Source organism: Homo sapiens, chromosome 10 (assembly GCF_000001405.40).
Source record: "Homo sapiens chromosome 10, GRCh38.p14 Primary Assembly".
Classification (NCBI taxonomy): Eukaryota; Metazoa; Chordata; class Mammalia; order Primates; family Hominidae; genus Homo; species Homo sapiens.
Genome location: NC_000010.11, coordinates 67079198 through 67103140, shown reverse-complemented (window position 1 = coordinate 67103140; position 23943 = coordinate 67079198). Strand labels below are relative to the sequence as shown.

Genomic DNA, 23943 nt, shown 5'->3' with positions numbered 1-23943 from the left:
TGCATTAGTATCACCTCAGTCATGTCTTAATGCATATTTTGGGATCCATCCCAGTGGTTCTGATTCAGTAAATCTAGTATTGACACAAGGGATTTGGAGTCAACTTGACCTCTTAATAGTAACTTCAAGGATATTATAGGTGGCAAAAGTTTAAACAAATAAAATTATTTGTCAAATTTATCCATCCATGTTGTCTTACTACTATTTTCCACATTAATCCAGATAAAGTCAGTAAGTGGAAATGACTGAAACTGCTCAACTGACCAACTCAAAACCTGGAATCAGACCGTCATTTCCTATAGACTGAGGAAAAGACTGTCTTGCAGAACCTTTAAACCATGTAGTACAAGTGTGCTGTGTTATAATAACACAAGATATATGGAAATCAATTTAAAAAAGATAAATTAGCAGGTAATATTTTAGATTAAAAAGCAATTTCAAGGTTCCTTTATCACAAGGTCTCTTGATACATTTGAAATATTATTTGATTTACACAAAATAAATTTTCACTCACCTTTTCAGGAAGACAAATATCATATAACACAAAATTTATAAATGAGAGCTAGGAGGAAGAAACTTAGTAGCCTAAGTCCTAGATGGTTGAGGCACTCTGCTGCTGTAAGATCACTGTCCTTCATAGAATAAAAAAGTCAATGGTGGACTTTTTAAAATGTGAAATTTACCCTAAATAAATTAAATATAAGTTGCCTCCTATCTCACAATAAAACTATAATGCAAGTCATGAGAGACCTTCAAAAAAGACTCATCACCACTTTGATGTGCGTGTGTGTGTTTGCTTGGTTTTAAATTTTTAAACATTTCTTTCCCATTAATGTTGATGATAAAATGAAGCCCAATTGTTGATTGTCCAGGTACCCTACCTTTGGGGTAAATCAGAATTTTGAAAGCATTGCTCCTGGGTCCTTTGTACTTGGCGCCTCCCTATTTAGAGACAGTTGGGGAAAATTGGGAAGGTCATGGGAGGAGTTGGAAGCTCTTTCTTATTGCAAGACCAATTCATCTGCACCTTGAGACTTTTTGATGAATTAGGAGATTGTTATATTACCCAGCATTATAAACTGTTAAGAGCTGTGCCAATATAAGATGTTATTATATCTATTCTGGAAAATTTTCACCTTTTCTCCTGAGGCCAAATACCTGCCAGTCCCATAACTTCTTCTTTCGCATGCTCTGACATACCCAGAACATCTGCATTTCTTTTATACAGTTGAATAACAACAATTCACATCAGGTATTGGTTTTCATGAATTCAATTTCTTATTTTGAGTGTTTAGTTTGAGAGATGATATCTGTCTTCTAGTCAGGAACAATCAAAAACAAATATATTTTTACTCTCATATACAATAGTTTTATTTTAGAAAATTTTTTTTTCAAAAAGATTTTACTATTTCTAAGCAGTCAATGGAGTCAGAGAGATCTGAGTTCAAAATAGGATTATGTGATTAGTCTTGAGTGTTAAATTTGGGAATGTTTTCTTTCCTTGTAAAAATGTAATTTGTATTAATCTGTATAGTTTTGTGGTTTTCCAAAACATTCAGGAGGGACTAGAAATAGAGACTTGACAAAAATGAGTTGATCAGTAAAATATATTATTTGCAAGTTAGCATATGTTTTAGGTTCTATACATCAATTTGGATAAATTATATTTTATTTTTCTTATAAGAAAATGGAGAAAATTGTTCTCTATTATTACAAGTAAAAAAAATTTCATGGTTTAAGAAGAAATCTTGCCAAAAGAAAAAAAGAAAAAGAATTTTATGTAAGTCTTCCCAATTAGCTCCGAATTGAACATGTGTTCAGTTGACAAAGTGTTGAACATGTGTTCAACCCTGTACTATGGATCTCTTTTATAATTATGCAGTCTCAATTTAGAAGGTCTTTGGTTTTTTCCTTGGGGTTTCTTTCCTTGTGCTTCCTTGATTTTATGTCTGTACCTCGGGGCCTACATGCATCCACATCTTGGGAGCATCTGTTCTGCACATTCACAAACGAACTTGTATGTTAAGAAATATGTGACTTGTTAAACTTTTTGAACAGAGTTTTAATGTGAGAGCCCAGAGTAGAACACAGAAATAATTCAGTTAGCTAATATTTTACAGATGGAGAATTGAATTAAAATAGGGATTACTAAACAACATGTCAAATATATATAGATATATATTCTTTCATTCTATCCATTATCTCTGGAAGTTCTCTTGCTCTGATCAGAGAAAGAAATCTTTTAGTACAGTGGAAAGACTAACAGCCTGTAAATTTTGAGAATAATTCAACTGCACCAATTATTGGCCCTGTGTTTTGGGGTAAGAGCTCAATTTCTTTGAGATTAATGTGTCTTCATAGGGTTGTTATGAAGACAAAATGAGATAATTTATGTAAAATGTGGTTTGTGAACTTCAAAACACTGCATAACTTTATGGTTTGCTGCAGCTGCTGGCTGTTATTGTAACCATGCTGGGTGAAACTTTCCATTTTTCAGCTCCAAACATAAGTAAACATTTCAGTTGTTTAAATCGGTGAGGAATAGACAGGAAGGGAGACATAGGAATGGGGGTTAGAAGGAGGAAATGGGAGATTATCAAATGCTGGAAAAGATAGGTTAGAAATGCAAGTTTTAGACAAAAACTGAAATAAATTGGAAATATGTGATAAAGATTCCAGACACAGTCTTTCAGATTGTCACCACCCTCACCCTTAACCTGGACATGGCAAAATAAAAATTAAGCAAAAATAATAATAATCATCATCCAGCATTTTTTTTCTTGCTAAAGACCCTTTTGGTTGAATTTAAAGATGAGAAGTCTCAAAATTCCTGGCGTATTTGGTGTAGCTTAGGGCCTTGGTTGCACAGAGCTGTGGTTCCAAGGTGATTGCTTCTATTTATAGTCGTTCACTTTAGATGAATTTAAAATATTTAAGAAAGAAAGTGGTTTCCTTCAGGAAATCAAGGGCATACACTTGTAAGACTCCTTGGAACCTTAACATTTCTAAAAATCATTATCAATTTGAATGTGTCTAGAAATAGGTTTATTAGTAGATAAACCTATTTATTAACAAATATGTTAATTTGTGCTTGTTTACACAAATTAATTCTTCTTTTTCTATCTTTGCAAGGATAACTTCTAATGAGAAAACTTGCAAATGACATTTTGGTTTACATAATAAATAAAATTTTGCATTTGATTTTAGACTCACGAATCATAGCTTTATAACCCTTTATAAATTTGCTAACGACGTAAAGCCAAATTTCAATGTAGAGAATTAAGAATAAGAATAATACATTGCAAGGAAATTAGAAAATGGAAAACATAAAGATTAAAATTAGATTTAAAATGACAAAAATTTTTGAAGAGCAAATAATTTATGCAAAATATGTTACAAAATCTGGGATGCTAAATAGTTGACACAAGTACTGTGTTTGACATTTAGTTTCATTTGAATTAGTAATAGAATTTGCTTCTTCCAACATTTACATCTTTTTTCTTTCTGACTTTATATATTTTCAACAAAAATTTGCTCCACAGTTTTTAAGTTCATTCTTCTTGAATCCGCTTTTACATTTGCTGTGACAAACCTGCATAAAACTAGATTTTATAGATATAACTTCTTTGGAAGAGATAAAAATTTAAAAGTTTGACATTGTTTTCAGTTATTCTTTTCTTCATTGTTTTGATTGGCCCCTGTTAGATTGATGTATTGTCAATCTACTTTTGATGGCATGAATATAAAATGACAACATAAAAAGCACTTCTAGTGCAACAGTAATTGAAACTTGCAGTTTTCCATTAAAAAAAAACACAAGAATGCATGATTACTATTGATAAAGTAACAATATTTTCAAACAATAACCTATGTCAAGCAAACAGCACAAACAAGTTGATTATTTCAGCTTCTAAAGACTCAGGTTTTCTTAATTTGATTTGAATGAACTTTATAATACAATTGTATAATCAATATATGATCTGGGCTGGTGTCAAATTACTCTGAGTTATTTCTTTGATAATTTGGAGGTGAATCCCATTATGGATAGCAATATAAACAATTTAGAACATATTAAGGATGTTTACCGTCTACTTGAGTGATAAAGTTCTCCACCATGGCTCATATCTATATTGAATGAGCTGTACATGTTTAAAATTCTTCCTCAGGAGAGAAATGATGTAGTGCACAACGCAAAACAAATTCATATGTTTCCTTTGAAATGTTTCCAAAATACCGGTCTCACAGTTCTAAATAAAAAGTTGTCTTAAGAACCAGGCACATTTTGCACTGACTGATGGTTACTTTTAGGTAAACCGCTATGGGTTAATTAGGATAAAAATTGCTACTGTACAATTATTATGCACTATACTCCCACCTTGGCCTGAAAATAATGAGATGTAACAAAAGTTTTTATTTGTCACTGGCAGCTGCACCTTTTAACTGTATCACAAAGTCTGTTGCTGTGGTTACAGCCTTTGTTTCCAGTGATGTTTTGTCCATGCTTTCCCCCAACCCTTAACAATGGTTACTCAAAAGAATGAAATAATGAGTCATTCATTCGGAAATATGTTAAAATATCCCTCTTTATCATTACATTTCACTGCTTAGAAACTAGGCTGTAATTCAAGGCAACAGTTAAGTCTGAGAACTGTTAAAAAAATCTTTGATTTTTTTTTCATTTTTAAGAAAAACCTGCCTATGTAATTGAAGAACCTCTTACAAGTCTGAACAATTAAATCCTTTTTGGTTAATGTATTATTTCTGGAACAAGTAGATAAAATTCTACGCAGTAAGCATAATAAAAATCGTGCATGTTTCGCACAGCACAGAATTTTAGAGTCAAGGTTTCTGGGCACAAAAGCAGTAACAAAACAGTCCTTACAAAACTGAGTAACTCTGAATAACACAAGAAATAATTTTTGTTAATTTAAAATTTTAGAAACTGAAATGTGTAAAGTTTTTAAAGTAAAATGTAATTAAATTATGGTACTGTACATACCAGTTGTTTCTACAATTGAAACTTTACAATATGAAAAATACATTAGCTTTGTACAGTTTTTACAGGTAGGTAGGATGAGTTTTGAAAAAAAAAGATTCTTTTATTTTTCAGGGTCATACTCTGTTTAAGTCAAAAAATACTGCACAACTTAGCTAATTACAAAGTGTAGACTTAAAACAATTCATGTCTTCTTTATTTCATGAATCAATCTTGGATTTTTTGTTTATTTGAACAGGGGATTTTGTGTTTTGTTTTGTTTTTAGAGTCCACAATGAACACATCTTCCTCATTTTGTCCTTGAGGTTACAAAGTTTGGTAGCAACCCCTGGCTACCAATGATCTCAGTTAAGCTAGCTGCTGTTTATGGTCACTGATTCGGCCAGCTGTTGTGATTGTGCTCAGGTCCAGCTCAGTCTCTAGGTGTGTTTCCATCGTATCTTCCTGTGCATTCGTTTCAAAGGACTTATGGGAGAGAAGTTCATGATGCACCCCACAGTAACTTATTGTGGGCTGGTCGTATGCCAGAAAGGTTGACACATTCATTGATAAAGGTATCTGGGGAAAAATGACATGAGAAAAGTCAGTTATAAAAATATGGACAACTTTAGGGGAAAGATTTAGAGACTGAAGTGCTGACCTGACTAACCTCCATGGTTATATCTGTGGCCCTGTGGCCCAGGTGTCCCTATATTATCCCGCTAATGCCCCCTATTCCTATATGGTGAGATCAGTGCAACAGTTTTAAATCCTGGGATGAAACTGCTTAATTCTTTACTAGAAGATTTGGATAAGTAGTAGCCTACATGGTTCTGAAAATGATAAAAGATTTATTGGAACAGTCAGAAAATTGCTTTCGCTAACTGGGAAAATAATTGTGTTTTTAGAACTGATAAACACTATTATTATTATTATTAGTGTTAATTATCCTATTATTTGGTTAGGATACAATAGAACAAGAGTGATTCTCAAACTTTAGCATTCACAAAAATCACCACCCACTTCTTTAACTAGTCAACCCCCTGCCACCCAAGTTTTTCATCCAGTAGGTCTGGTATAGGTCCTGGAATCCACATGTCTTACAAGTTCCTATATGATGCTGGACTATTAATCCACACACCACACTTCGATAACCATTGCAGAAGAGAATTATCTAGACAAGCCATTCTGGCTATTCTTACCCATGACTTCTTAATATTTATTTTATCATGAAGATTCCTTAAAATATTAATGTCTGTAGTTTGGTCCATATATCTAAAATTTAGATGAGCATAGAGAATTCCCAGGAAAAATCTATGGTTCCTATGAAAGTCCAAAAAGCATCAAAGGATGATGCTAGTTTGAAGGAACCAGTAGTATACATGAGGAAGGGACTCCCTTGCCAACTAAAGAAAGCAAGTTCTAAAAGTGAGGGAAAAAGCAAGCATGACCATGGTGAGAAGGGAAACACAGTTACAGACAAAGGGGAGCCTGAAATATAATCAGATATCAAAGTCTAGAGATAGTTCCCATTTCTTTTTCAATAAGATAAAAACTTGTCCTAAAAAGTAGGCAGATTTCAGGAACCTTCAGTCCTGATCTTGGTTTAATATCCTAATTACTAATTCATGCTGTTGAATTCTCTGGAGGATAAAAGCTTCTGCCATTCTTGTTTGGTGAACAGATAGAATGTATATTTGTTTGAGCACATCAGACTAACTTCCTTTCTGATCTTAGCTGAGATTAGAGTCCAAAGCTAAGAAAAATAGAAGGCCTAGGTATTATTTTTTTATTAACTGCATCTTTACATTCTTTCCCCTTCTCTCCATGCATTAGAACCGTCTTTGCCACTTCTGTTTCCATCCCTACAGTTCTACTTACATGTATTTCTACTTCAGTGAAAATTCCTGGAGCAAATATTACCTTTTATCTCTTTAATAAAAGTAATCAAAAAAATAAAAAATAAAACTAATCACTTCTTTTAAGATTATTTGCTTATAATATGAATATTTCGGCATATAAAATATATATAGCTTAGTTCTTAGAGAAATGTAATCCAGCTTATTAAATGAAAATTCCAGAGTAACTCTTCCTATTTATGTGGATTTTTAAGATTTAAAACATGAAGTTATCTGATGCGTGAATGAAAGATATCACATACTTTAAAAAATGGTCAAGGCGACTGAAAGATCGTAAAGAAAATGCTTAAGAATAAAATAGGATACTTCCATTTAAAATAAATAAGAATCTTGTTGTCACAGATGAAATAGCCCAGATAACTAAAATACATTTTTATGTAAAAGTAAATGTGCAGCATGAATAGATTTGAGTTATAGAAGAGAACAAAAATAGAACTGTTACTGGGTACACGAGTTTTACATTATCCTCTGGGAAATCAGTGCTCTGTAATGTGTTATGGGTCATATATCTGTAGGATTTTATATACTTGTCCTTATTCGTCATGGAAACTTATGCCTCATATATGCAGAATCATTTCTGGCTTACTTAGAATTAACTCTACTGTGAATAATTTGTAATTTCTATGGTGATGATTTATGAAAAATAATAAACCATGATACATTTATTCTGTGTGTGTGTGTGCACACACAATTTCCTGCTTGATTTAATGTATCAAGGCTACTGACTGGTATGCAGAGTGCAAGTCCTAATTTGAACCATTATCAATTAAATAGTTAGCTCTGATGATCTGTTTTAAAAATCCCACATATTATTTTCTTTAGTGAGTTTCTTACTGTTGGATATGTCTTATTTTGAAATACTTTATGCCATGATTATACTGTTTAAATATAAATCCACATTTTTTCACATTTTATTATTTCTGAAATTAGGATGGAACTTATAAGCAACGTGAATGTTTAACATATATCATTTCCATGTAATTGAGAGTGCATTTTAAAGTTGATTCTATCTTATTAACAATAAAATAACATAGTAAGATGTATCAGTAAGTAGAATGTAACAGCTAGCCATATCTGAATACAGCATCACAGTAGATTTTTCCCAGGTTGACCTAAATGATTTTGAAAATTTAAGAGAGTTAGCATTGGATATATACCCATGTGTATATATAGGGGTACACACATACAGATACATATATAATATATAAACATATATGTATATACACATATATGTATAAACTTAAAGCCAATTACTTATAGTTTCAAAATCATTTAAATCAGGTATGGAAAATGCAAATTTTGGTGATACATCAGTTTTGGACCACTTTTACATACTCATGACATCTATATAAGATTCATGTAAATATAGTATACATACCTATGGATATATACATGATATGGTATATGTATGCACATGTGTGTACATTTACTCATAAATTTTTCAAATTGTGTTCAGGTAAGTCTTTGTTGAATTATGAATATTTTGCACTGACAATTTTATTGGAATGTCAAGTAAGATAATTTTTTAATATATAAAATATTTGGTTAAATTTAAGTCATTTCTTCCTCAATTTTTAATTTATAAGTATTGTATACAGATGTAGTACAAGGTATGTTTATTCTTTTGTGGCTAATCAGATGGATAAAAATTATTGAAACTGTGTGATATATGAGGCACCATGCTTGACAATATGAAGAACCTAAATATCAGTGGAAGGACCAAGTGATTTAGGTATAGAATATGGCCAGTAATTTTCTTTTTAATTATACACTGTTCCCCCAATTACTATAAATAATAATTTACTAGATGTTTACATTAAATACAATTGCTATCATGTATTTTAAAATATGTAGAATGAAAATAAATTTTACTTCAATTTAAAAGACCTAGTTCACTGTTTAATGAGATGACATTAAAAGGCTATGCTATCTGGAAATACTTATTTCGTTAGAATATCCATGTAGGATATCCATTTAGGAACCCAATGATTCTTAAATGTAATAAAAATAAAAATAGTCTCTATTATCTAAATTTGTAAGGGAGGGATATTTTTGCTTCTAATTATTTATAATGAGAAAATTATTCTTTGTCAGAGCAAGTCTTCCTCATGAAAAATATTACATATATTGTTTGTAATATCTTTTCTTCTCTATATCAACATCATATGTTGATTACTTTCTCAGCTTAGGGTATTAGATTTTTACATAAGTTAATTCGAGTAGGAAGTCAGATGCTGAGTGTGCAACACATTTTCTGCTCAAGTAGCAGTGCACTACCTGCTGCCTGACATCACGGTATTGCCTTAAGAGGTATTCTTTGGTTCTTCCATGAAGAGATTATCCGTCCCTTTCAAATTATAGTCAGTTGTTTGAGAATATGGCAAATGACAATTTGTGTTAGTGCCATAATTTGAAAAAGGAGTGTGACTAGGATGAAACCTATTTATGTTTCAAATAAACTAAATCTAAAATGATAAGAAATTAAAATCTGCATATGGTATTTTTCACACCAGGGTAAATACCTGATGCAGAGGTTTGGGCAACGACTGTGAATTCAGCAATCTTTTGTTGGGGGGGAGTTTCAGTTTTGTTGGGAGGGTATGTCCTTGCACCAAAAAATGACTGGTCGCTGGGTAGTAATGGAGAGGCTACCAGCTGGCATTAAAAAAACAAATCTGTTTGACTCAACCTTGTAGATCCCTTCCTGTCACCAACTCACAATAAATTCCATTCTCTTCACATAACCATCAAGTGACTTTGGGTCCTTTTATTCTTTTCTTTTTTTCACAGTAACCTCTCTCTATTTCTCCATTTTTACCTAATTTTTATTAACATGGTCTCTCCTGAGATTAGGGTGTTCAACAGTACAGTCCCAATTTATGCTTATCGTCCCATTTTGACAATAAATGACTTAGTCAACCTACCTGAAGGTTACCCAAATACATTATTTCATAAAATAAACAGTTACCCTAAGTGTCTGAACTAGCTAGTTGGAATAGGCTCAGGGAAGGGCAATAGGAAATTTAAATCTAATAAGGCATTTGCTTCTCCAGATCTTTTGTTGGAAGGCTCTATTTAAAGTGTCCATAGAATCTTCTTGTCATATCTTTCTGAGAATTAAGTTTCTCTCCATGAATTTACCCTGCTAAACTCCTGTTTATCATTACTTCTGGTTTCTTTTAATCCTCTAAATCACCGTTTTCCAAGAAAGGTAATTCTTCTTAAGGCTATGAATTGTGGAGATTCAGGGGTATAAAAACTTACTCTCTAGAAAGCATTATCATGTATACTCTTAGCTAAGAAAATCGTTATATGCTATTGTAATAATGAGTAGTAGTAGCTGACCCATTATTTAGGAAATTCCCTTAGGAATAATTTCGATTCTGCTACACTAGTAGTGTCTTGACATCAATGATATTTGCCCTAGCAGTAATTTTCCAGTGATGTGCCAAGTCTCATATCACTGTCTCGTATCAACATCAATGCTATGTACCTTTCACATAAAAAGTACAAAGTTAGATGGTTAAAAATAACTAATTACTAATGGTCTTTTTCCCATTCATATGTAATATTTGAGTTTGTGATTATAAAGGATAAGAATAGTTTTTTAAAGTTTCTAAGTTGTGATTAAGTAAAAATAATAATTTTTACCACATATTAACTATATAAGTAATATCTAGGTATATTTGTACAAATATCTTTGTATATATATGAACATTCATATGAATTTCTCATAATTTGGTTAAGGTCACTCAAGAATCTCTTCTGTTGGATAGAAAAGGTTATTTTTAAAGTACAAAATACTCTGAAGAACAGAAAATGACAGTCTTCTTTTGTGAAGGAATAACAAAAAGGCCATGTTTTCCTTCTCTAGAATTCTCTCTCTAGTTTGCTTGGTAAGTGTTATGTCTGAATAGAGATTTTAGTATGTATAAATATCTCTACTCATTGAGAGAATTCTCATGCTCTCCTCATATATCACAGGGGAAATCTTCCCATTTTTGTAAGGCTGAATGTTATCTAGTAAGTTTTCTAACTCTCTAGGTTGTTGAAAAGATGATAGTTTAGGGTTTTTGTAAATATCATTTTTGATCATCTGCATACAGTGAAAGAAACAGACTTCTTAATGAAGAAATTCAGTTTTTTAGATGTAGTCCTTGTCACTATCGAAATGTTTTTCTGCATTTTATCTTGAAATTCAGAGGCGTATTTTCTTACTTTTATTTTTCATCTACTAAACTTAAGGGGTTTTCAGTTGAGTTTATTTCTACCTACTAACATATAAAATAAGAAATAGGCATTTCAGTCTTCTTCTAGTTAATGATATTTCTCTAATTTGTCTTTAAATTTGTTTCAAACTGAGCTCATTATCTCTGAATACAAACTGGTTCCTCTTCCTTGGTCCCTATTTTGTTCTAGGGAATACTTATTAGATTAAGTCAGCTTAATCTACTTGTTGCCCATCTACTTTGACTCCCTGTCTCTTGTTCCAAATGTCCCATGATTTGCCAGTTACTTTCTTGACATCAATGACAGGCACACACATCTCTCATCTCTGTTACCACTATCTCGGCTCAAAGTATCATTACCTTTTTCACCTTAGTGACTATGACTGGTCTCCCTAATCTGTAGAATTGCCAATAAAACTGGGCATTTATAAATTTATCCTGGAGGAAATTAGCTATATTTTTAATTTAAATGTAAGCAATATGTAGAAAATAGTAAATACTTTCTTCTTTTGTTTTCCTTTTTTTGGGGGGTGGTCATGTCTGAAGCATTATTCTTTGTCTTTGGAAAGAAGTGGGATTTAAAGTATACTTTATTCTGGGAAATTGGCATCCTTAAATATATTATTTACATATATTCCTTAAATATATACATGTATATATTTATGCATGTATGTTTGTGTATGTATCACACTGTCTTTAAATTCTCAATTTACTTAAAGAAATGTTTTAATTTCTAAAAAATACACTTGATGATGACTTTATTCTTTTTCATTTTGATGCCTCTACTATCTGTTTCATTTATATAAGCTGATTTTCATAACTAGCTTTGGGTTTTGCTAAGGTATGCGCAATTTGATGTGTGTTTGGAGATTGGCTAGCAACGTTTATTTTGTCCTATGAAGCTTGACCTTTATATACAGGCTGGTAGTTTTACTTAGAGTCAAAATAGAAAGCTGTCCCTTTGGTATTATTTGAGTAATATTAAGAAACTCTTGATTGAAAATACCTTTCTACCGGCTTGACTCCCAGCTTGAAAATTTTGTCACTAATCACTATTTTGGTTTCTAAGTGTTAAGGCAGTTGATAAAATATAAGTGCTATATGAGATAAATAGTGTAAGCAATTATCACACTGCAGCTTGGGTCCCTGGCAAAGTGTCAGGGACGGCCTAGATGTTACCGCAGGTTCTACCTTAGTTTCTTTAGGATTTCTGCAGCTGTTACTCTGCCTAGCCACCTGAAGAAGCTGTGGGCATTTGTTGCGTCTGTCAGTTGATGCGTGGCCTGGACACGTCTCTAATATTCTCTTCATTATTTTCATTCATTAAGCATTTACTATGTAGCACAGGTACTATACTACATGCTGGACAGAGGTTGCCTATTTTAAGCCTTCTAAGACTAACAGTTGAGAAAAGGAAGACTTAGATAGTTTAAATAATTTGTATAAAATCACTCGTCTAGTGAGTTGCCTAAGTGGTTGCCTGCCTTCTTAACCACTACATTTTGTTGCTTATCTATCACTCTATCTAATTCTTACTGGCCTTAGAACCTAGAGAGGTGAACACAATATAGGCATCTGATTCTCTGTAACACTAATTCTCAACATTTAGCTCTTATTTCCATTAGTGTGAACATTAAGATTTCCTATGTTTATACTGTAGTTTTATGATGCTTCTTTGCACATTGGGTCTTCAGGAAAGAAACGTAGTTTATGATGGATTTAAGATGTGGGTAAGATAGTGACAGCTCAAAATCAGAGTTCTCTGCTTCTTACTACACACATATTGACCAATACAAGGCATAGAAAGAAGAGTCCAATCTCGAAAACACTCAAGATGGGGACAGGAACCTTAAGTATACTCCTGGATACATATATGTGTAAAAATGTTCAGGAAGACCTTTGGGGTTTTTAAAGTTAGATCCCTGTGTTGACTTAGAAATTGGCAGATATTTTCCAGTTAAAATATGTTAGCTTTTCTTTTTAACAAAATGTGCAAAAAGAAACTTGAATTAATCTGTAGTTTGATTATTTTGTTTCATATGAGACTATACTTGTCTTGAATTTTTTCTTTATGTAAAACATAGCTAGGCAGGTGCTGCAGAAGTACAGGACTGGGAAATGGAGAACAAACATGATGAAGACACAATTTCTGCTCTCTGGCAAAATTATAGGCTTGTGAAAGGGATGGACAAATGGTGCAAGATAGTAAAGGAAGGCAATGGATGGGGGGCCTAGGAGACAAATACAGTATATGTGTTTCTGTCCACACACACACACACACACACACACACACACACACATATGTATATACACATATGTATACTCTGATTGGCTGATTCGACTAACTATATCATTCATCCTTTATGTGTGCCAAATGAGGTAGCCATCTTTTTTCTTTGAAAATAATGTTGTTTTTGAGATTTATTGGCAAGAGTCCATATTGCTGAGAAGTGATTCAATATTTACTTTATAGACTCCCCCACAGAGATAATATACTTTACTTTGAAACTGATTTATTTGTTCGAAGAGCAATCTATCTCCTAGAACTCTTTAGCATTCCAATGGTTAATTGGTGTGAGTACAACAGGCTGTTGGATCATTAATTTTAATTATCTTGATTCTACTAGTAAATTATTTTTTAAGAAAGCACTTTCAAGAAGCACATAATTAAGAGCCTGAATTTATGTTGTCTATCTTTAAATTTAAACACCTAACATTTGAAAATAACCTTTATAATTCTTAAATGTAATCCAGGCCCTGGTACTTAATTTTTATATTTTCTTAAGAGCTAAATTGCCAACTAAAGTAACAGTTACTATTCTGAGGTCACAAGTACAGTCCTCCCTCAGTATCCATGGGGGATTGGCTCTAGGACTCCCGATAGCAAAACCTATGGGGGGTCCCTTAGGTTTATGTAAGTCCCTTATATAAAATGGTGTGTAGTACTTACATTTAATCCACACACATCCTCCCATATATTTAAAATCACCTGTAGATTACTCATAATACCTAATACAATGTATATTCTATCTAAGTAGTCATTATACTGTATTGTTCTATTCGTATTAATTTTAATTGTATTGTTATTTTTTATTGTTTGTTTTTCTCTTGTATATTTTCAATTTGCAGTTAGTTGAGTTTATGGATGTAGAACCTATGGATATGGAGGGCTGACAGTATAGGATAATAAGGCAGGAACTCAATATAAATTTGCAGATTTTCAAGTGTCTGTAACGAGAATAATGAGAGACAAAATATTTTTTGCAGGAACATAATAATAATTCTTTTAGTGGTATTTGTGCAAAAACTTCATTATAGTGAAATCCTGCAAAGTTAAAATATAAAGTGAAAAAAACTTAAGAGTTCTATTTGAAAGGTCACAGTTCTCCTTGCATCAAAATGCATTTAGAGTAAGGAAAAAACATTCTGAATTTTGGTAGCTTTATGGGTGTCTTGCAAATTTGTCTTTCAGTAATGCCCCTAGTCCATCTAAGTAACAGGGAGAGTCTTATGTAATGCAGGCACCGTTTATCTTTGCAATAAAAAATCTTAACTATTTAAATGATGTGGCCACTTTTGAATATATTTTGTGTTTTATGAAGCATTTTGTTTCAGTTTTGCAAGAAAAAATAAATATGGATTGGCTATATGCATTGTTTTTATAAATTCACATGCTAATGTCTACAAAACCAAAGAGAAATATTCATTCGTTAATTTATTCACTCATTCCTTCAGTGAAGGTTTGCTGAATGCCTTCTCTGGGCCATATGCCAAGTTCTTGTCCTGAAGGGTTCTGGATGGAACATAAGCCATTCCAATACATGCCTAGCAAGCAGAAGACAGAGGATTCCATGTAGGAAAAGCATTTCTTATCTCCCCATTTGGCATCTCTCAATTTTTCACTCATTCACTCACTCACTTACTCTCTCACTCTTGTTCTTGCTTTCTTTCTCTTTAAATTATCATGGTATTTCCACATGATATTATTATATGTCTGTTTTTAGATTATGTCTTTATTTGCACAGATCTTTTATCTCATATTAGACCATAACCTTTTTGAGCACAAGAATCTATGACTAATCATATTTCTCCATGCCTTATATTGTCTCACATGATTCCTTATACTTATTAAGCACTATATGTGTATTTATTGAATGAATGAATACTTGAATGAATGAAAGAAAAGAGTAAGGGTTAGTTAATATAGTCTGAGAAGAAATCACAAACCTCCATCCCCCGGTGACTGGGCTTTATAGGAACTATATGACTGAGATAATCTATTAAAATCGAATTATGTAAGGATCCAGGCCATTATGACATTAGCTTAGAGGTAGAGGGCTAAAATGAGTGAGCAGAAATCCACACTAATGATGAGGCACATGGCACTGCATTATGATGTTTGAGATCCACTTTATTTTTTATTTGATTTTAACTATTTAAAAATCCTTTATTATTTTTATTTAAAACTTTATTTTATTTTAAACTTATTTTAATATATTTATATTAGAGAAGGTATGAATTGTGTATCTAAATGTATAAAACTTTTTAAAAGAATATTAAAAATAAGATAATCATCCCTTAATTTGGTGATTTTCCCCCTATAAATTGCAAAATGTTATGTGTACACTTTATCATCTAATAACTTCCACAATATCTGTGTTTTTCAAATTCTTTAGTGCTTCCTAGAAGCACTGCTCATGATCTCCAGGAGTTTGATGCAGCTGCCAAATTAGCTTTTCCACTAATGGACTCTTCCCTGGACCCTTCTGTGTTAACCTCTGTTTTATTTTTGTAGTGCCAATGAAAAGTGATGTTTCTCTTTAACTGAGGCAAAGCAAAATGCCCCAAAGTGTGTTCATTTACATGTAAATCTTTCTGCACAGCCCAGTGCCTGCTAAATTGGTACTATTGCCAGGTAAAGTGATGAGACCTAAATTGAAACTATGGCTCAAAAGCCTCTCTAATCTTGGTGCTGTGTTTCCAAATCCGTTTCTTCATACTGTGGTGCAATGAGGTGCAGTTGCTAATCAGTATGAAAACATCTCATTCTTCTTTTCCTTTTTTTAATCCCCTTGGAAATTGTAGTCACAACAGTCCACTGGAGGGTCTTATAATAACACTACATCAGTTAATGTTTTTGGTCTAGGTTTATATAAGTATGGCAGAATGAAAATTACATTATATTAAAAATTATAAAGCAAACAAACATAACAGATACTAGTGTTTGGAATTGTTATAGAAGCAACTGGTGGAAAGAACTCTCCATATCTATGACTGATAGGGTATTTTGGTCTCACAGAGAGGCTCTATATATGATTTCCCTGAACATTGGCATTTATGTTTGTGTGTGTGTCTCATGACTTCTAATAGCCCACTTGCTTTCCAACTGGCATTTTCTTCCTTACTATATTGATGTAGTCTTCACATTCTTTATAAAACAGACTACGTTTTTGACATGCCTCATCTAAAAATAGTTTGTCCTGCTTTGGCAGGACTTGGATATTGCAGAGGAGCATTTCAGGATTTGCTGAACCCAAGCAGCTGACATCCAAACAGGCTTTCAAATGATATGATTACTTACTGATAAGCATTGAATTTCTCTTCAACTTCATTACTAAATTAATTGAGACTTTGGTTGAGATTATCTCCCAACTAAATGAAGTGATATTCTGTCCCAACTAAATGAAGTGATATTCTGTATGCATCTGCCAGGTTGCATAAAAATCTTGCACCTGTTTTAGTTCAAGTAACATTTTTTAAAGAAAATCCTTCAGATGAGTTTCATTTTATAGGGATGAGGTATTGCTATGAATTTCTTCAAAATTTATATTTATATCCACATAAGTATGAAAAAAAATATACTGTTTCTTCCACCCCTTCATCCATTTATCTATCCATCTATCCACTCATTCATCTGTCCATATCATATCCATCCATCATTATTGAATATCCTAGAGATCTTGGGTGAATGAAACCAATTCCCTGATTTTACAAGCAAGCCATTTTAAACACCATGTTCCTAGGGTGGAATTATGTGTAGGATATGATGAGAGTGGAGGGAAAGATCTTCTGCTGTTGCTATGAGGCTTTATATAGATAACGTCATGTTTAAGCTGGCCAGGTTGGTCTTATTTATATATTGCTGTTATTTCATTGATATTAACATAATCTATCTCTCTAGATTGTAAATTCAATAGAGAATAAAGACTTCTCAGGGTTTGTGCAGGCTTGCGTATTAGTAAAAGTTTGAAAATTCTTGAGAGTGGAAAGATTGGCAGGGAACTGAATAGATTATAACCAAGTCTATGTATTTACATTTGTAATGAAAATATCATAATAAGGGATGAGCTAATATGTAAAGGTAAACTAACTCATTATTTCAAATTTTTATATGACACAAACATAAACTTTAAAAGTAAGTCTGACAATACAGCTCTTATGCAATAAAATACTTCTTGTTGATATTTTAATAAAGATCAACTTCTAAATTTTATGAGCACACATAGATTATATGAGGGTGACTAACGTTGACTGATTGGAGGTAATATTGGAGGGTGATGTGGTGAATAGCTCTTCTCAGTGTCTTACCTATGTTTTTTACTTTTAGTCCCTCTCATTTTTTTTTTCACAGTTGCATCTAGCATTTACAAATTAGGGTTCATTTTTTCTTACTTTATTTCATAGGATGTAGTATTTCTTTTGTTTCTTATAAATAATAAACAAGAAGACTAGTCATATTTTTGATTACTATTATGTGATCAGCCACATATATATGTAGACAATTTTCTTTCAACTATGGCTTTGATCAAAACAAGTTAAAAAATAAACTACATAAAAAATGTGAGGTGTTATTCTTGATAGTGTATCTTGTCTCATTAACAATGTAATTATTTGCTTTTCACTCACAGTTCAAAGTAGATATTGAATGCAATTAAAAATTAAAAATAATTCAGACCATATTTGGACAGCAAATTTGAAGCTCAAGGTTAAGATCTTCAGTATCATTAGGATACCCTACTTAGAGAATATGTTTTAACTCCTTTGACATGTCTTGATATTTATAACATACAAGGCACAAATATAACATAATATGAAGGAGTTTCATGTAATTATTTTAAACTGGTTTTCTTATTATTAGATCCTATCATTTATACTGCTAATCTATAACCTGAATGATATAAAATCAGCAATGAAGGAAAGGATGAACCTTAATTTATAAACGTAGTCTAGGCAGATTTTTTATGCGATACAGCCTTCTCTATGAAAAAGCTTAATCTTATGCTTTTATGAGTAATAGCAATAATTTATTATTTCTCATTCTATTTACTCTGTTATTTAAGTGTCCATTATAAAAGTTATCAAAGTATCTGTTACCCAAGTAGTAAGATTGGAAAGGCAGGACTGATCATGAATCTTGTAAAAATATATGGTTAAGGAAATCTAATGTAGGATCAGGAAATTTTCTAATCTAAAGGGTGAAAATGATTTTTTCTCATGGCTGAGGGTGTTCTGCTGTGAATGAAATTTAGAGTAGAATTATAAACAATATTTAAATTAATATATATTTTAATATTTGGTTCTCCACTTCAGATTTAGCTTTAAAATGTATTCATGATGTTGTGATAGTCAATTAGATAATATAAAAATTTTTAACTTGGTCATGGTTAGTGACTGTTGCCCAACAGGAGCATCTTTGGTATTTTCTTCCTATTATTTTTCCTTCTCTGTAAGTATTTGTGGAATTCTCACTCCAGGTGTAGATTTTTGCCAACCATTTGAGGATAACTCAAGGAACAATACATATGAGGATAGATTGCTTAAATCTCTGAGCTTCTATTATTATTCTGAATATATGAATACCAAGTTAAAAGTGATAAGTGAATTTGAGATTAGTTATAAATATAGGTGTTTTAATATATCATATTTTGTGCTTGTTTATAAGGAAACACTGGAGCTCCTGATCCTACCTTCTCCCTGAAAAGTGTTGCAAAGCAACGAACCTCTTCCTTGAACTGGCATTGACCTTGGAAACCATTATATTTCTAGCTGAATTGACTGTGTCCCTCTCCCTTCCTAATAGAGAACTGATTAGATTTTTCTTATCTTTATTTTTATTCTTTTCATGTGCTTTTAAATTTTGCTTTGATTACTTACATTTTAATAAAATATGTGTAGCTTTTGCAAGTAAATCAGACTCTTAAAAAGTATGTAATGGGAACCATCCCAATGTCTATGGGGAGAACTAATGTATTTTGAATGCCTTGGCTGTTTATTTTAGTGATTTCTTAATTATTTATTAAGGGACATGAAACTGAGACATATATGTATTATTGATAGGGTAGAGGGAAAGCCACATGGTTGCTTAATACATGCACAAGTTCTTATTGTGAAACTGCTATCACTGTCTAGTATCTGAATAATTCTTAGCTTCTTCTCAAGGAAAATTAAAATGTACAAATTCTAAAAAATAAAAACAATTCACATATAACTCAAATGTAGTTAAAATTAGCACATTGTTGAAATGTGTTGAGGTAGACAACGAAACATAACACAGTGGGATCAGGTTATTCTGCTTTAGTGGGGGTGGCCAGGAAGATAGGACTATACTTTTTTTTTTTGCACTGAGACAAATTTCCTAGATGGTAGCCCCAAGAAAGAACATTGAATAACTGATTGGAACTGTTTCCTAATCATTATATTGATTGCTTGGTCTTCATAGTGTATTAAATGAAAAGGCAGCTATTTGGCTTATATTTGTGTTATGGTGCTAAGCCTGCACTTTAGACACTTTCTTTTTACTTGAGGACATTAGCAATGTGGTTTCGAATAAAGGAAGTTTTTTTTTTTCTCAAATTAGGTAGACCTATGGATATTTAAAGGGATTCAAAGTTTAAAAGGCTGAGTAATGAAGGTCTTTATACCAGGATGCTCACTGGTCCCCTGATCACACTTGCCTCTCCTGACCCTTAGGTGAACACCTGCTTTTTTGTGAGAACACACAGGTGGCTTCTGGTAGAACTCATGACTATAGCAGAAATGCCTGTCTGGTTCAGCAATCCAGTTAATGCCTCATGAGCACTTAATTTCATTGATGTAGTTAATATAGGAGGTGGGTGGCTTCTAGTCAACAAAATCTGGTTAGTTGCTTGACTCATAATATTGTGGTCCATCCCCCAGACTACCCAGTTTAGAACATGCCTCCAATCAGTTTCATGACTGATATCTAATCCTTAGGATGTCTTTTAACACTCATATTCAGAAATCCTCTTCTCTATGCTGATGTAGAAGTACTTTATTTTATCTTTAGAAAAAAGGATGTATCTTTAGGAGAAAGGGCCCTTCTTGGAAATAACATATTCCTATCTAATTCCTGCACGGTTTCCTTTTTTCTCCTGCGGGCCAGCTGAGTTATTCAAAGACCTTAGTGCTTTCCTAGGAGGCTTGTGAAGTAATTGAGAATTTGGTAGGAAAGAAAGTGATTCTCAACTTCTTACTATAGTAAATGCATTTCTAGAGATTATGGCCTTAAGTATAGCCCTTTGCAAAATCTGCTTGGGGGTTTAGGGTTTTAAACTTATGCCAGGAGTGATATTGATTAGGCATTTTCTGCCTTGCCTATTAGCTCTTCCTTCTGCTCAGTGCTAGCGAAATCGCAATTTGTGCCATGAAAATCACCAAGGCAATAAATCTAGCACTTATGACTTCAATGCATTATTGAGAAGAAAGCACAGATGGACTACAAGGGAGCAAGCAGCGGTTAAAACCAACTAATATATTTGATAATTAATAAATGTAACAGGGGAAATGAACAGCAAATGAAGGAGTAGCAGATCCAATTTTTAATTAAAATGTAATATAAAAATTCTCTGTTTTTTAATTTTAAAAAATCCTCTCTATAGCATTGAAAGAAAATTGGTTCTTGAGAATGCTGACTGCAATCTGCAATCAACTTTGGGTCCAGCTTAAACTTCTAACAAAGGTAGCCTAGGTACTCCTATTTTGTGAACATTAAGTTTCAGGAACTGTGTTATGTGCTGGTAATTCAAAGATAAAACATGAATACTGTTTTCAAGGAGCTCTAAGTCTTTAATAGGGATCCATGCATATAAACATAACTAGTGAGTAAACTAGTGAATAAACAGGGCTATATACTGGCTCCAGAGGAGGGCATGATCACCTCTGCTGGGCTAGGATCAGGAAAGACCTCAGAGGGGAGACTCTTGAGCTGAGTCTTGAAGGAAGACAAGGAACTCATTCAGAGAAAAGTAGGAAGACTGTTCTAGGCAGAAGTGCAGAGGCATGAGACAGCATAGCTGGTCCAGGAGACTAGAACTACTCAAAATGGCAGGAGCAAAGAATGTATATGGAGCAACAGTGACAGGTATACATATGAGAATACAGGCATAGCAAAATGGTAGGCGAGAGATGATGAGAGCCTGAAGTCAGATACTATCAATAGGGTTGGAAACAATGGGTCAATTTATATCATTTATTAGATTGGTGACCTTGGGCAAGTTAATTAACCTCTCTGAGCCACAATATTGGCACTGTTAAATGGATATAATAATCTGCATCTTACAGTTTTGTTGTTAGTGCTAGAGAAAATATATTTGTGTTTCCTGAAATAGTAAGTTCTCAATAAGTGAAAGAGATGATTGTATTACTACTGATTGATTGAAAAACTCCTCATGTCCTTTCTTTTTCTACATATTTCACTGCTTGTCACTCTCATATCACTGTTCAGTATATACCTGAAATGAGCTTAGAGAATTAAGCATTTTAAATGCCCTGCCAACAGTCATTTCTCCAATAATTATTACTGTTTCCACATTAATCTGTATTTGAGATGCAATCAAATTGATGTGCTCAAAAATGTATAAGCTCTGTCTGTCAGAACTGAAGGAGAGAGAAACATTTAGACATTATTAAAATTGTTGGCTTATTACTGGAAAGCATCATAGTTTAAGTGCCAAATATCCAACTAGGGTAAATATAAGGGACTGAGGATTCTAATATAGGATGCTGATTTATTGTTTAGCTTTAGGTAAGTTACTTCACCTCTTCTTTGTTTTTTTTTTTTTGTTGTTTTTTTGTTTTTTTGTTTTTTTTCAGACAGAGTCTCGCTCTCTCGCCCAGGCTGGAGTGCAGTGGCCAGATCTGGGCTCACTGCAAGCTCTGCCTCCCGGGTTCACGCCATTCTCCTGCCTCAGCCTCCCGAGTAGCTGGGACCACAGGCGCCCGCCACCACGCCGGGCTAATTTTTTGTATTTTTAGTAGAGATGGGGTTTCACTGTGTTAGCCAGGATGGTCTCGATCTCCTGACCTCGTGATCCGCCCGCCTCAGCCTCCCAAAGTGCTGGGATTACAGGCGTGAGCCACCATGCCCGGCCGTTACTTCACCTTTTCTATGCACATCTATAAGATGATGAAGATGATGCCTATTGAATAAATCCAATAAGCAAGCTTAAGCATAGGAATGATAAATAATAAAACATAAATTTCCTCTCTGAGGAGAAAAAAAAATCTCATGTCAGTAGATGTATTGCGATGCTGGGACCTAACATTCTAAGTGGGAATTATATGCAGAATTCAGTTTTTTCATTAACATCAGTTTATTTAAATGTGTTCCTGACTTCCCTAATTGTGTCCCATACTTCGGTAGTTTTGTCTTACATTGTAAACAGCAGATTCTCTGTGAAAGGTAGAAATTAACCTGCTGATACTTCTCTTTCCACCCCCATAAGATACTGTAAAATAAATGGAAAAATACCATTTCAAAACCCAATCCAGCAGAAAATGGCTCTAGCCTGCAAAACAATCCAGTAGCTCACGTAAAAGGAATAATTTTCTTTCTTGAGAAGAGGGAATTTTTTAACGAAATACAAGCACTTGGGGCTGTCACCCCTTCTGGTTCTTCTTGCCATGCCCTCCCTGCCTCTTTGGATCCCAGCAAGAGGCAGGTTAAATTCTGCATGCTGTAGGAAGACTTTGGAGAAAACAAAACAAAACCAAAACCTTGTACAACCACCCTCCTCTAACTACAGCAATTTTTTATTTTACTCCTCTCTTGACACTTCTTACATGCTGCTGTGTGTTAGTGACTATCTTTGTGTGTGTGTGTGTGTGTGTGTGTGTGTGTGTGTGTGTGTGTGTGTGTGTTTTGTTTTTTTGAGATGGAGTCTCGCTGTGCCACCCAGGCTGGAGTTCAGTGGTGCAATCTCAGCTCACTGCAACATCCGCCTCCCGGGTTCAAGAGATTCTCCTGCCTCAGCCTCCTGAGCAGCTGGGATTACAGGTGCCCGCCACCACGCCTGGCTAGTTTTTGCATTTTTAGTAGAGATGGGGTTTCACTATATTGGCCAGGCTGGTCTTGAACTCCTGACCTTGTGATCTGCCCACCTTGGCCTCCCAACATGCTGGGATTACAGGCATGAGCCACCGCGCTGGGCTGTGACTATCTTATTGTTATGTTTTATCTTCCTAATTATAACACAGATGCTTAATTGTAATACTTTGCCTTTTCTATTGTTTCCTCTGATCCTCGGGAGATATTTGCGAATTTATTGGCTTTATTGGGGTTTTCTAAACTTAGAAATAAATGTTTTATGTAGATTGCTCATCTGTTAGATATTATATCTAGGAACTGCCCTATCGCTGTGTTCCTTCTGCAACTGTGGCAGAGAACTGGCAGCAAGCCAAGCCATGGCTTACATGGCCATGATGTCTGTATTTATGATAGTTTCTTAAATTCCTAGGACTCTTCCCCTTGTTCTATAACACAGAGTTTCTTGTGCACAGCGTGTGCTCATAAGTTAACCTT

At 33.5% G+C, this 23943-nt stretch overlaps 2 protein-coding genes across 9 annotated transcripts in view; one reads left to right on the top strand and one right to left on the bottom strand.

Moving 5' to 3' along the window:
- Positions 1-23943, top strand: part of CTNNA3 (catenin alpha 3) — a 1851072-nt gene that overhangs the window by 660454 nt on the left and 1166675 nt on the right. The gene's annotated exons all lie outside the window — the stretch shown is intronic.
- LRRTM3 (leucine rich repeat transmembrane neuronal 3) overlaps positions 1590-23943 on the bottom strand; it is a 175516-nt gene continuing 153162 nt past the window's right edge. For both annotated transcript variants that reach the window (NR_111909.1, NM_178011.5), the window contains exon 3: positions 1590-5554. Coding sequence is in view for 1 of the 2 variants with exons in the window: in NM_178011.5 (NP_821079.3) it covers positions 5345-5554 (210 nt within the window). In the remaining variant the exon portion in view is untranslated. The remainder of the gene's footprint in view (positions 5555-23943) is intronic.